The sequence below is a fragment of the Homo sapiens genome, chromosome 5, assembly GCF_000001405.40.
Source record: "Homo sapiens chromosome 5, GRCh38.p14 Primary Assembly".
Classification (NCBI taxonomy): domain Eukaryota; kingdom Metazoa; phylum Chordata; class Mammalia; order Primates; family Hominidae; genus Homo; species Homo sapiens.
In genome coordinates, this window is record NC_000005.10 from 68,921,669 (window position 1) to 68,936,185 (window position 14,517).

Below are 14,517 nucleotides of genomic sequence, written 5' to 3' on the forward strand. Positions count from 1 at the left end.
CACACTGTGGAAGCTTTGTTCTTTCGCACTTTGCAATAAATCTTGCTGCTGCTCAGTCTTTGGGTCCGCACTGCCTTCATGAGCTGTAACACTCACCGCGAAGGTCTGCAGGTTCACTCCTGAGGCCAGCGAGACCACGAACCCAACAGAAGGAAGAAACTCTGAACACATCCTAACATCAGAAGGAACAAACTCCAGACACACCACCTTTAAGAATTGTAACACTCACTGCGAGGGTCCGCGGCTTCATTCTTGAAGTCAGTGAGACCAAGAACCCACCAATTCCAGACACACTGCCATTCCTGGTGGGGGCAAGGGCCCTCTCCTGCCCTGCTCATGCCTGACTGTCTACCTACTGTAACAAGCATAGCTACCAACAAGATTCCTTAATATTGCATCCCTGCTAATGTCTCCATTTTTAACCGTTAGATCTCTCCAAACGACTCTAGTTATTTACATTACTTTTTTGTGGCATTTCAAGTTGTTTGCAAGGAAACACTATATATATAGGTGAAGTAGCCCAGGGAATTCCACTCCAAAATATAGCACCATGGTATACTGATATTTTAAATTAAAGGCACTTGAAGGTCAGCAGATGCTTGAAAGAGGCTCTCCTCTGATATTCTCTTATCTACCTTAAGACTGGATCTGCCAAAGAGAACACAATTGCCTTCCATCCCTGCTCTGAAATCTCACTGCCCATCACAGAAAAGAAGACTGAGGAATGCAACCACACCTGGATGGACTTTTTCACAAGATAATGCCTGCCTCTTGGGCTCATTCAAATTGCAAAAAGAATCATTTACAAGTTAATTTCTGTCTCCCTGTTTCATTCATTCTCCCTAATAGTCAGTTACTACCCCTTAAAAGAATTGCCTACATTCCCCAACTTCCTCATCCCCTGTGAAGAACAGTATGTAAACATTTGTCCCCCACTGGGTTGTTGGGGGATCATTCTCATGCAATTCCCCTGGGCTTATGCACATTAAATAAATTGGTACACCTTTTCTCCTATTGATCTGTCCGTTGTCAGTACTGTCAGCAAACCTTCAGAGAAGTTTTCCTCCAGGGAAAGCTTTCCTTAGCTCCTTCAGCATAAGTCTAAGCATAAAACAAGAGAAAAAAGCAACAAGAGAGCTCAAAGGGGAAACGCAGGTGAGACCAACAGGATTGCAGGAAGCAACCTGCTCCTCTTAGGTTCAGGTGGTATTAAGACAGCCCTGCTGTGAATATTGCTTTAAGGGTTGGATTTAAAGTGAAGTGACTGTTGAAAGAATAAGGCACGCCCTCATATCAATGATAAGTCTCCTAACCAGGATTGACGATTCTTATGTATGGACTCCAATTATTTCAATGCCACATATTAAATTTCACCCCAAATTCTCAAAAGTGAATTCATTTTTTAATTTTAAGAAGAATAGATTTTCAAGTTTTGCATACTTTCAGTTAGATGATGGCCTTACCAAAAAAAAAAAAAAAAAAAAAAAAAAAAGGGTGTTGCCATACCCAAAGATTTTAGAAATCCTGGTCTAGAAAGCCCTTAAGAGAAGTAGTTCACAACTCTGGCAACGCTGGCTGCACATTGGAACCTCCTAGGACCCACTCCTAGAAAGTTTTATTGAATTTTTATGCCGTATACTCAGGCATTAGTATTGTTAAGGTTGAGAACCAGTTCTAGAAACTTGTTATAACAAATATGTACTTTTTCTTAAATATCCCAAGAACTGATCCCACATTCTTTTTGCTCTTGACTCCTTATAGCCGGTGTCTACGTCCTGAAATTATCAGTATGAGAGAAAAAGTAAGAAGTATGGCCTTCCCAGATTGGTGAGGCAGAAGATGACCTAGGGGCAGAGCATAAGATGCATGATTTGGTCCTATATAGTAGAAACACGTCAACAATAACTTACGCATACCCTGAGAATGACCCTTGTGGCAGATGCACCCGACAGCAACAAGTTAAGAAATTAGGGCTGCCACCAGGAGGTTGGTAGGGAGAGGGTGCTAAGTGAAGGTGCTACATAAACTGCGTGCTTTTCACAAGTGGTTGTTTCTCCTGTGCAGCCCACTCCCTCTGGACCGTCCCTATATATTCCCTGTATGCAAGTTCCCCCAAATAAAACCTTATGTCTTGTTTGCTGACTCCAGGTCTCTTCTTCGGCCTCTTGAAGTTGGTGCCATCCCTAGTAAAGTTAATAGGAGTCTGGGCATCTGGGGTAACAAGTTCCTCCCCAACTCACATTCCTGCTCACACCTGTCCATAGCCTCAAAAAAGGATGTGATGACTGAAACTCATTTACATCCCCATTATTCCTGCATTATCATTGTTTGTAAATGCCATTTGTCTTTACCCCTGCCTAAAACAGAAATGAAAGCAAGAGGAGACAAAAAGGCTAATGCAACATTCCAGTAGAATCACAAAAGCAGGGCATGGGACTGCCTTATTAACTTCATTGTAGTGATGTGTTATAAAATGCAAATTGCCGAAAGAGGGCAGTAATTTGTTAATAAATATGTTAATTAGGCAGAGTAAATGCCATACTGCATGGAGGGGGGAAGAAAATCACTGATTGTAAACTCCACGCACAGCAGATTTCAGAGGGCAAGATGTAGTTAATAAAACTACCTTTATGTTTTATATTGCTGCTCTTTAACATAAATAGCTAATAAGCAATTTACATTAACGGTGTGGGCACAAATGTAAATTAGCCCATCTTTGGTTTATATTACTGCAATGCAGTCCTAATGCTAAAGTGTTGCATTTGGCGATTTCATTAAGGGAAAGATCTGAGAACCCCATACAGTCCTAGGGCCCGCTTCAAGGGATTTTAATATGAAACCAAAATTCCACTGCACATTCTTGTTCACCACGTGGGAATTTCCAGAAAGGGCTCTGCTATCAAATATTTTCCCTGTCCATGGCTATGTCCACAACTCTGAGCTCCTGTGGGTGTTCAAAATATCCTGCTCGCCAAAAATGCCTCACAACCCTGAGGCTGCAACAATATGGTCTTGTGCAATTGCAGTCTGGACTTCTGCTCAACTCTCTGCTTGCCGACTGGTAGCAGCCTGACTCAACTACAAACAAAGAGACCCTTGTTATCAAAGGGACTTTCACAGGTCCAGGTGGCTGGAGGAAGGAACTGAGGAGGACCTTCAGGGCTTTCTGAGTCTATATTCCCACTAGCCACAAAGATCGAATGCAAATGCTAGCAAATTCCAGCAACACACATTTGTGCTGCTTGAACCCATGGAAGTTTTCCATTTCTGGCCTCATTCATCTGCGACCTCTCCTACTCACAGGGTCTTTCTTTAGTCATGCTGTGCAAGCAGCTACTGTATATACCAAAAGTTAATTTTACTACACACTTCAGTGTGTCGCCGGAGGTGCAATAAATCACGAACCAATTTCCAATTTTGTTATGCCCTACTTGATAAGGACGTGAAGCATTCTTTCCCCCAGTATACATGTTTTTAAACATGAGGATTAGAAGTAGGAACACATCTCTTGATGCACAGTGACATTTTAGCCTTCCTTTACAAGAGAAGTTGACCCCTGCAGGTCCTATTAGAATAAAACATCAACTTGGGTCCAGAAGCTGCCTACAGGCCTTTAGAACACCTTGTAGAAGAAGTTTTGGTTTTCTTTTTTTTTTTTCCAACTTTAGCAAATAGATTCCTTTAGATGAAATACAAGTTGTTGGGGCAGTTTTATTCTCAATTGTGCTGCCTTTTTTTTAAAGGTATAGAATAAGGTATTGAAAAGTTCATAGAATCCAGTTCTTAGAGATGGATAAAGAGACTTTAGCATTCCTTCTACAAATTTAACTTTTTTTAATTTGCAAGTAAAAATTGCTTACATGTTTATAGTATATAATATGATGTTTTGATATACATTATGGAATGGCTAAATCAAGCTATTTCACATATGGTAACATATGACAACTAACCCTTTATATTAATTCCCTTGCTGCTGTCTATACTCACAATGACAATAAAGCCTATTTCTTGAGGTTATTCTGAGGTTTAAATAAGATTATACATCACTAATTGGCAATCACCACAGTAATAACTGTGTTTAGTGGTAATCATCAATGGATGCTAAAACTAGTGGGTAACACTTGGATGAGAAATAGGGTATTACGTAGTCTTAAAAAATGTCCCTACAAGAAAGATACCCACCAAAAAGTTGCTGGGTAGTTAATCTAGCGAGCAAAATGATACTGGAGTGGAGAGAGTCGAACAGGAGACACATATTACTTGGGTCTCAAAAAAAATGGAGTTAAAGATTTAGAAGAAGAATGAAGAAAAGAAAAAGAAATGCTCCATTACAGTGCAGGAGAAAAATATATTTTCTCATCTATCACTAGATTCACGGCTAAGCCTCCTATAACAAAAGAGATTAACAAGAAAAAAGCATAGAAATCTATTTAATGTAAGTTTTATGTGACATGGGGGCCCTCATAAGGAAATGAAGACCTGAAGAAATGGGTAAACCTATGTGTTTTTTATGCTTGGTTTGATGAAGTGGACAGTTGTAGAAAACACAATTGGACAAAGGGTATGATCTAATGGTAATAAACTGGGGGAAACTTAACAAGACCTAGGTGTTAGATTCTTCTATGTCCCTGTGTCTTTAAAAATAAGGGGGCTCCCTTCCTCTGGATATAGGGAGGCTGCCTCTCACATGAGGGTCTTATGACTTGCGTCAGGGAAAGGTCAGAGAATCCTTACTAGGTTTATGATTTGTTTCAGAGGAAAAGGGAAGGGGAAGGTGAGAGTGACCCTCCAGCTTCTGCAGTTTAGTCAAATGCCAAAATGCCCTATTTTGGTGTAGTACGTCCTGAACCCCACCACCAGCAAAAGAAAGGGAGCCAATGATTAGGGTCTCCTCCACAATCACATAAACAAGTACCACCCAAGCTACACATGAACTCATACTTTCACTTAGGCTCAAATCTCATATGCAAGGACGTAGGATGCCTTCAGGTAGAGGAGACAAAATATGAAACAACAGAAAGTGCAGAGAGTTTGAAGTAGAAGTCCTGGGTTCAAACCCCAGCCCCACCTCTTGCCAGAATCACACCTTTTGAAAGAAAAGGATATTAATAAATAAATCAATACAATTCCAAAACCTGACTATTACACATACATGCCACTCTCGGTCAATAAATAAATTTTGAAAGGATACATACAATCCCTTTGGAGAACAGTTTGGCAATATCTAGAGAAGTTTAAAATACACATCCTATGACTAAGGAATTTTCTTCCTAGGTAAATACCTTAGAGAAACTCACACACTTACATCAGGAGGCACATATAAGACTGTTCATTACAGTATTGTTTATGGTAGCAAAAACTGAAAGCAACGTAATCATCCATCAAACAGAAAATTAATGTATAGATTGTGATATATTCATATAATTAAATACCATATAGCTATGCAAATGAATACAGTAAAAGGCTGTATATACCTATGAAATGGGAGAGTTCTCTGGCCCCTTCACGGGACTTACGATAGGGGTGGCTCATTTACTCGGCCACCACATTCAATCCCATATAGAAGGGAGCACACAAGTGGACAAGTGTGAGAACTAGAGTGAACAAACGCTGGAGCCGGCCGCTTCTCTCTGGTGGGAGCAGGCTCTATGCGGGCCCTGTGGCAGCATCCAAGCATGTTATGTTGCTCTTTTAGGAGGGTGTGTCTGCCACCCCCAGAGCCCCAGAGGGCATGTGTTAACAATCAGTGCTCTTTTAGCATTTGCCATCTGCAGATGGCTGTTAAGCAGCTCAGTGGAGTTCAGGGTGACAGCCTTTTACACCCTGCCCTCTTGGTACCTGAGTTCTTGTCCAGCATCCAGGAAAAATCAGGTCACATGAATGAATTGAACTGTTGTGAATGTGGAGGACTTTATTGATGGTGGAATTGGCTCTTGGTGGAAAGGGAAGCTGAAAAGGGGGTGGAGTGGGAAGATAATCTTTCCCTGGAGTCTAGCCGTTCCTGGCCAAACTCCTCTCCAACCATAGTCTCCAACATCCAGCTGCTGCTTCTCCTCTCAACATTCAGACCCTTCTCTCTTCTGTGTGAGTCTCCTGAGTCTGGGGTCTGGGGCTCTTATGGGCACAGGATAGGGGGCAGGGCAGGGTAGGCCAAAAGGCAACATTCAGGTGGGAAAACAGGGATAGTTCTTACTTTGGGCCACAGTTTCAGGCTTGAGGGGGGGCCCTCGCTGGGGAATCACCCTCCTGCCTCTATCATGGCGTCATCTACATGAATGACTCTTATAATGCTGAATGAAAAATCATGATTTTCCATGCCACATACAATATGATTAGAATATGTACAATATGTGTAATATACAATATGATTCCATAAATATATTATTTTAAAACGTTACAGTTATGCACCACAAAGACATTTTGGTCAATGATGGACCACATATACAATGGTGGTCTCATAAGATTAAAATAGAGATAAAAATTTCCTATCACCTAGTGACTTCTTGATCATCTTGACCCTATGTAGTCCTAGGCTAATGTGTATGTCTGTGTCTAACTTTTCAACAACAAAAAAAAGCTTAAAAAATAAAAATAAAACATTTCTAAATAGAAAAAAAGCTGGCCAGGCATGATGGCTCACACTTGGCCATCATGCACTCTGGGAGGCCGAGGCGGGTGGATCACGAGGTCAGGAGATCAAGACCATCCTCGCTAACACAGTGAAACCCAGTCTTTACTAAAAATACAAAAACTTAGCCAGGCGTAGTGGCACGCACCTGTAGTCCCAGCTACTCAGAAGGCTGAGTCAGAAGAATCTCTTGAGCCCAGGAGGCGAAGGTTGCAGTCAGCCGAGGTCATGCCACTGCACTCCAGCCTGGGCAACTGAGTGAGACTCTGTCTCAAAAAAAAAAAAAAAAATGCTGATAAAGATATAAAGAAAATATTTTCATACAGCTATACAATGTGTCTTTTAAGCTAAGTGCTATTCCAAGAGTCAAAAGTTAAAAATTCAGCTTATAAAGTAAAAAAATTACAGTAAGCTAAGTTAAATTTATTACTGAAGAAATATTTTTATAAATTTAGCATAGCCTAAGTGTACAGTGTTTACTGTAGTAGTGTACAATAATGTCCTAGGCTTTCACACTCACTCAACACTGACTCACCTAGAGCAATCTCCAGTCCTGCAAGCTCCTTTGATGGTAAGTGCCATATACAGGTGTTTCATTATTTTTCATATCATATTTTTACTGTAATTTTTCTATGTTTAGATACACACGTACTTACCATTTTGTTACAATTGTAGTATTCAGTACAGTAACATGCTGTACAGTTGTATAGCCTAGGACCAATAGGCTCTACCATGTAGCCTAGGTGTGAAGTAGGCTATACCATCCATGTTTGTGTAAGTACACTCTATGATGTTTGCACAATGATGAAGTCACCTAATGATACATTTCTCAGAGCATACTCCCATTGTTAAGCAACTCATGACTCCCTATATATTGTTTAGGACACATAAATAAATCATAAAAGTATAAGGAGTGAGCATAGCAACCAAATTCAGAAGACCAATTACCTCTCGGAGGAAGATGGAATCAGGAAGGGGCTTCAACTGTATTGGCTTTATTTAATAGAGGGTGAGAAAACATATGCTTGTGGCATTATTCTTCATACGTTTGTCTTAAATATTACTTAATAATTATCTAATTTTCAAACAAAACTATATACATAGAAACCAACATATTCATAGAAGATTTCTGCAAGGAATCAAAAAGAAACTAAGGACAACACTTGCCCTCAGAGAGTGAACTGGGGGCCTAGGGTGGAAGAAAGAGTCACCCTTCATTATTATACAGTTTGAATTATACTGTTTGAATTTACACCATGTGAAATGTTATTTTCAAAACAATAACAATTTTTCTAACAGCTTAGCAAAGAGGAGTCACTTGATGCTACCATCACAAGGGCTTTTGTGCTAATCGTGGTCTAGCTCATTGCCTCGTGTATCTAAGCAGTTAATGAGCTCAACTCCCCTTCTCAGGAAATGAGATGTTAACTCTGTAGAGTGATATGGGCCACAGATGTCATGAACTCAAGGCACATTAGTACCGCATTTCATTCTATGTGTAATATTTTGCCTCCATAAAATCCTGTGTATGTGATCTTACAAACCTTCAGAAAAGCGAAAAGAATAATTTCAGTATACAGTCATGTTTCATTTAATGATGGTATATGCTCTGAGAAACATTTTTTTAGGTGATTTTGTCATTGTGTTCTTACACTAACCTGGATAGTATAGCCTACTACACATCTAAGTTATATGGTGTCATGCCAAGTGTCAGATTCCAACTAAGGTCCAAGGGTAGTTGGTGGAGTGGTGGGTAGCTGGAAAAACACTCAAAGAATCGTAGACAGTTTTGACATGGCTTTGTTCTATCTCTAGGTACAAGTAAGCCTGGGCACAAGCAAGCCATGGGCACAAGCGGTATGTACAGCATCAGCAGGGTAATTATATCTCTTGCAGACAACAGTGGCTCCAAGTCAAGCATAAGCTCATGTGAGTGATCACCTAATGCACCTTATGTGGTGTGCTTACATGACACACCTCATGTGGCGTGGTTACATAACATGCAGAGTTGTGCCCCTGTGCTCTAAACCCACTGAGTCATGCTGTGCCAGAAAGCCACCTCAGACTACTCCTGACTAAAGCACAGCCATCCGCCTTACACCCACAAGGCCGAGGGCATCCTCCAGACAGGGACACATGCCCATAGGGTGGAGTCCTGAATTCATAACCCACAACAATACAGACAGCAACAGTTCCAGATTATGGCAGGCAACCACTTCATGGTGACGTTACCCCAATGTTGCTTTATACATTAAGCCAGGTTTTTATTTCCCTACCTTTAGAAGCACTGGAGCAGGCAACAACAGGTTATGGTTCATTCCCATACCTGGTCAGAGGAACTCTTTCTTCCTTCCGTAAGTTTTGCCACGTGGCTTGACCCCACATAGGCCAGTGACCAACTAGCCACTTTTGTAACTTCTAGGTAGTTAACCACAAGGTTAACCCTCGATAAACTGCCCAGCTATTGGTGCAGATCATTATAGGTGTCACCTCCTTGGTAATCACCATTCATACCGCTCTAAGTTCAGCCCATTGGCTACTTTGCCCACCCCTGGTTTCAAACCATATGGTGTCAGTACTAGGTTGGACTGCAACAATGGTCCAGGCAGCAGTAGCACCTTGGCTAGACCCATCTGTGTACCACGCCCCATCGGGAATGGGAGAACACTTCTTAAATGGTGAAGACTCAGGGTCTAGGGGTGCCTCAGGCCCCATGGCCTTATCTTGCATTAGGACTACAGGTCCCAAGACCTCTTGCAACTGTTCTGCTAAGGGACTTTGTACTCAGCGTACTCTGCTGCTCTAAGTAGGTGCCCCACTTTGCTAAATTGGAATGTCTGTGCTTTCCCAGTCTCAGGGGTCATTATCCATGAATACACCCATCCCACTGTCGATGACTGTAGCCCATCTCATCATGCTCCCATGAGCCTGAAGGGCAGATATACGCTACTAACTGCTTTCCCAGTCCAAGAGGTCATTATCCATGAATGCACCCACCCTGCTATTGGGTAAGTCATCCACACAACAACTGTAGCCTGTCCTGCCATGTTCTCAGGGGCCTGAAGGGCAGCATATGCAGTTACCAACAGCTTCTCTATCAGTGAATATCAGAGGTCAGCTCCCTTCCATAGCTGGAACCAAAAACCCACTGGCATTCTGAAGCACTCCATGCACAATAGGCTCCAGCCAAAACTATCTGTGGTCACATACACATCCAGCTCAGGCTCCCCTGGTCAACTACCTGTAGGGCTTCTGCCTGCTAAATAGCCCACTTGGCTGCCAGGAAGGTGGTCTCAGCCACACCATCTTAATTCTAGGCAAGTAAAGCATTGCCACTTCTAAATCTGCAAAAGGATTAGAGGTTAGTATAATATCATTAACAAGACCATGACATATGGTGGGGCTACACATATAGCCCTGTGGCAACACTGTGAAAGTCCATTGTTGCCCTCCTGTGAAGGCAAACTATTACTGGCTCTCTGGAAAAGAATGTATTGGCCAAGTCCACTACACAGTGGTACTGTCCCAGCTCTGTCAAGTGGTCCATTGAGTCCATGATAGATGGCACAGCTGCCAAGCCATGTAAAATATCCACCCCCAGAAGGTATTTACACACACAGAATGTACTTAAACTTTCACTTTCATTGACCAGCTTTCATAGCTGTCTATGCTGCCTTATCCGGAAACTTACACAGGTTCCCATAGACAAGGCTACAATCTGAGCTGGTACCTACCAGTGCCAGTGCCCACTGTACAAATTAAACAGAAAAGGCTCTACACCCCTGCCTGACTGCAGTACATAACCTTTGAACTGAAGCACCTGGGGGGGACCAGGTCATGCAGCAATGTCCTTCTCCCCGTTGGCCATTTTCTGGAATTGCTACTCCTGAGACAGCTGTCTCCACAAAGTTTAGAGTACTTCATTGGGCTGCTTATCAGTTTTCTCTCAGTCAACCCCAACCAAAATCAAATCTATCCACATTTGTGAGCATGTCACTCGTTGGGGCCCCCTTTTCTCCCATGGAGGGGGTCCCCTGAAGGTGGGGCATCTTCCCCTTCTTTACAGTGCAGACTTCTTTGTCCTGCCAATGGCTTCCTCAAAATCAGACCAAGTGGGGATCTCCAGCCGAGACGACAGACCCAGGCCTGCATTTACAGCAGCCTCTAATTCCTTTTCCAAGCTCTGTAGCCAGGCCTCCAGGCGCCCCACCTGCACCTGAAGGTCCCCATTCATGGCAGCTTCTAACTCTTTTTCTGAACTGTGGAGCCAGGCTTCCAGGGACCCACCTGTTCCTGGAGGGCCCCTACCTCTGCTGCATCCCTCAGAGAATGGGTGTGTACTACTCATAGCGTAGTGAAAAACACCCATCCAACTCTGCCAGCAAAGGCTTGCTCCTTCTCAGTGCTCCGTGCTTCCAACTGCTTCAGCACCTTCTCTGTGCTCATCTACCACTGCCCAGGTTTCCACTGGAGCCCATCTGAGCAGCACAGCTCAGGATCCTGTTCATGATGTCAATTGTTAGGTTGTAACTAAAGTCCAAGGGGAGTCAGTGGCATAGTGGGTAGCTGGAAAAACACTCGAGGAATTGTAAAGAGTTTCAACATGCTTTTACTTTATCTCTGGGTGTGAGCAAGCCTGGTCACAATCCTGGGCACAAGCCACAGGTGCAAGCTGCACGTACAATGTCAGCAGGGTAATTATGGTGTGGTTACATAATGTGTGGAGTTGTGCACCTGCGCTCCAAACCTGCTGAGTCACACTGTGCTGGAAAGCTGCCTCAGCCTACTCCTGACTAAAGTGCAGCTATCTCCCTTACATATGATATAGTCTGTTGCTCCAACCACCATTGTATATGTGGCCCATTGTTGACTGAAATGTCATTATGCAAAGCATGAGTATTATTTTGTGATAGTGACCATTAATATTTTTGGCCATGCAATGTAGTCTACTGCCATTTCAAATTTAGTGCATTTTAATTCAAAAAATGGTTATTGAGTTCCTACTGTATTAGAAACTAAGGTAGAAACATGAATAAGACACAAGCCCTGATCTCTAGAACAGAAGCTTGTATTCTAATGAAGTACAATTGGCCATACTTTATCTTCAAAACTAATAATCTGAACTTGTTTTGAGAGCAGATTCATCACCACTGCTTACATTTATCTTTCTTCAACCTATCAATGAATAGCAAGCATCTTCCAATATTACCTCCTTGTTTTCAAGGTGTGAGAAAATGTCCATACTATGTGAACAACTCACAAAGACAACTGAGCAGATGTGCACATTGATTAGCATTGCAATCAAATCTTACAACCAACTTGATCTGCCACACATTTGATGATATGCATAATTGTTATCATGCCACCTGGTAATTAAGGATAATTGGTAAATAATTCATGTAAATTACTGTAATTGTTTCAGCTCCGCAGTTAAGCCAAGCATTTCAAGGGTCAGCTGAGTGGAGTAAGAAGTAGTAAGTTGGCCCAACTGAAAACCCCCTGGATCAGCTAAGACAGAGGAACCCATGCCTTTACTTGCCCCACTAAAGGCCTCCAACTATCTTGTTTCCCAGGAGCCCCAAGGTGATGGCTGCACCCACCCCACTTCCCACCACAGCTTCCCAACTCTGACACTTCCAAAATTTACAGTTGAGCTTGGTTTCCCTTAGGTAGTGGAGTTTTCTCCTATTCATGAATGAAAAAATGGTCAACAAGGTTAACACAGACCTTGGGCTTTGAGCTAGAAGCTTGGACAGAAGGCAAAGGAAGACGATTAACTCCTTTCTCCAGCATTGTGAGGGCCAAACGTGGGTTTTCTAAGGGCTGTGGCTGCAGCTTCCTTTTACCGCTCTCTTTTTTCTTCAAATTTTAAGTTCCAGGGTACATGTACAGGATGTGCAGGTTTGTTACATAGGTAAATGTGTGTCATGGTGGTTTTCTGCACAAATCAACCCATCACACCTAGGTTTAAAGCCCAGCACCCATTAGCTATACTTCCTGATGCTCTCCCCACCCCATGACAGGCCCCAGTATATGTTGTTTCCCTAACCCCATGTGTCCAAGTGTTCTCATCGTTCAGCTCCCACTTAGGAGAATATGCGGTGTTTGATTTTCTGTTTCAGCATTAGTTTGCTGAGGATAACAGTTTCTAGCTCCATTCATGTTCCTGCAAAAGACATGATCTTATTCCTTTTTATGGCTGCTTAGTATTCCATGGTACCACTTCCTTTTTAAGGACAGGCCCTCATTAGGGAAAACTGTCAAAGAACAGAACAAAAAAAAAAGGCTTCTGCCTAAAGTTTCTCCTCTGAAATTCTCCAATTTGCAGACCAGTACTCTGGAAGTGTAAAGGGGGCCCTCAGTCATTTGCACCTTGCACCTCTGGGTGCTTTTGTTTACTCAGCTTGGTTTCCCTACCCAGCTAGGAGTAGAACAGTAGTGGGAACTCGATGGGGTTGTTGCTTATGAATCATAGGTGGGAAATCATCCTAAAGGAAAGGAATGTGGCAGAGAATAGGACCTAGGTGAGAGCAAAGTGGTGACTGGGTGCCTTAGCAGCAGAGAAGCAAAGAGACTAAAATGTAGAAGAGAAACTGAAACACACCCACTCTTTGAAAAGAATATACACATTGGTACACACAAGCAGTAATAGAGTACGATTTCTGCCTTAATTTCATAGACTGAGCTTGTCTGCTTCTCAGCTCACTGTACAACAGAAAGCCATATGTGTGTCCTGTTTGCTGAAAAAGAAAGGGTCTCAGCAGGCCTGGGTCCCGGCAGCACTGAGGCGAGTGCAGGTCTTTCAGGTCTGTCCCAGTGCTCATCTGCTAATCCTTGTTATTATCCCAGACTTGGAAAGTCTCTCTGCATGGTTAATCCATCCATGTATATGGACAGGGTTCTAGGAATATACTTCAAGTGCCTATTGCCTCTGGGCTCACATCATTAATAATGCCAAGGAACATGCCTTTGTTTTTGATGCCTAATGGAAGAACTGCAGTGACCTAGAAGCCCACGGAAAGCCCTAAGGAAAGAATAACCTTTCCAGGAATGTTGGAAAGCACAGTCCTAGAATGCTGGAAAGGCAGTGAGATTGAGGGCAAAAAAGGGTTCAGATGAGTTGAGCTTATAGGACAGAAACAAGCATTGTCCCTCCATGAGAAGACACCAGAACCTGTTCTTATGGTCTCCTAGGCATGAACAGTAATGTGTTCACACAGAGCTACCAAAGATTTCCTAAAGAACATTCATAAGAACACTAATTCTATGGGATGTTAGTAGGTTCAGCAATCAAATAAATTTGGGAGCCTCTGGTTTAAACCAATTTAAACTGGTTTTCTTATTACAGGATGATACACTTTGGATCTGTGTCCCCACCAAATTTCATGCCAATTTGTAATTCCTAATGTTGGAGGGGCGGCCTAGTGAGAGGTGATTGGATCATGGGGGCAGATTTCTCATAAATAGTTCAGCACCATCCTCTTGGTACCATCCTCGTGATCATGAATTCTTGAGAGATCTGGTTGTTTATAAGTGAGTGACACCTCCCTCTTCTTTCTCTTACTCCTGCTCCTACCATGTGAGATGGCTCACTTCCTCTTTGCCTTCTGCCATGATTGGAAACTTCCTGAGGCCTCTCCCAGAAGCAGAAGCTGCTATGCTTTCCATACAGCCTGCAGAACCATGAGCCAATTAATCCTCTTTTCTTTATAAATTACCAAGTCTCAGATATTTCTTTACAGCAATGCGAGAATGGACTAACACACAGGACTTCTCAGAGCCTTTGATATGTCAATATATGTACACTGTGGAAATCCAAGCTAGGAAAAGAATAGGCACTGTTTCAAAAACTCATGTGATAAGATAATTTTGTGAGATATCAGTGCATA

General features: G+C 42.5%; 2 annotated features.

The window, feature by feature from the left end:
- Positions 158-739: an enhancer, noted in NCBI's record as "OCT4-NANOG-H3K27ac-H3K4me1 hESC enhancer chr5:68217653-68218234 (GRCh37/hg19 assembly coordinates)". NCBI's record gives its function as "activates a minimal SCP1, AML or CMV promoter by ChIP-STARR-seq in primed H9 embryonic stem cells {active_cell/tissue: H9 hESC(primed)}" and the evidence as "EXISTENCE:reporter gene assay evidence [ECO:0000049][PMID:30033119]".
- Positions 740-1,320: an enhancer, noted in NCBI's record as "OCT4-NANOG hESC enhancer chr5:68218235-68218815 (GRCh37/hg19 assembly coordinates)". NCBI's record gives its function as "activates a minimal SCP1, AML or CMV promoter by ChIP-STARR-seq in primed H9 embryonic stem cells {active_cell/tissue: H9 hESC(primed)}" and the evidence as "EXISTENCE:reporter gene assay evidence [ECO:0000049][PMID:30033119]".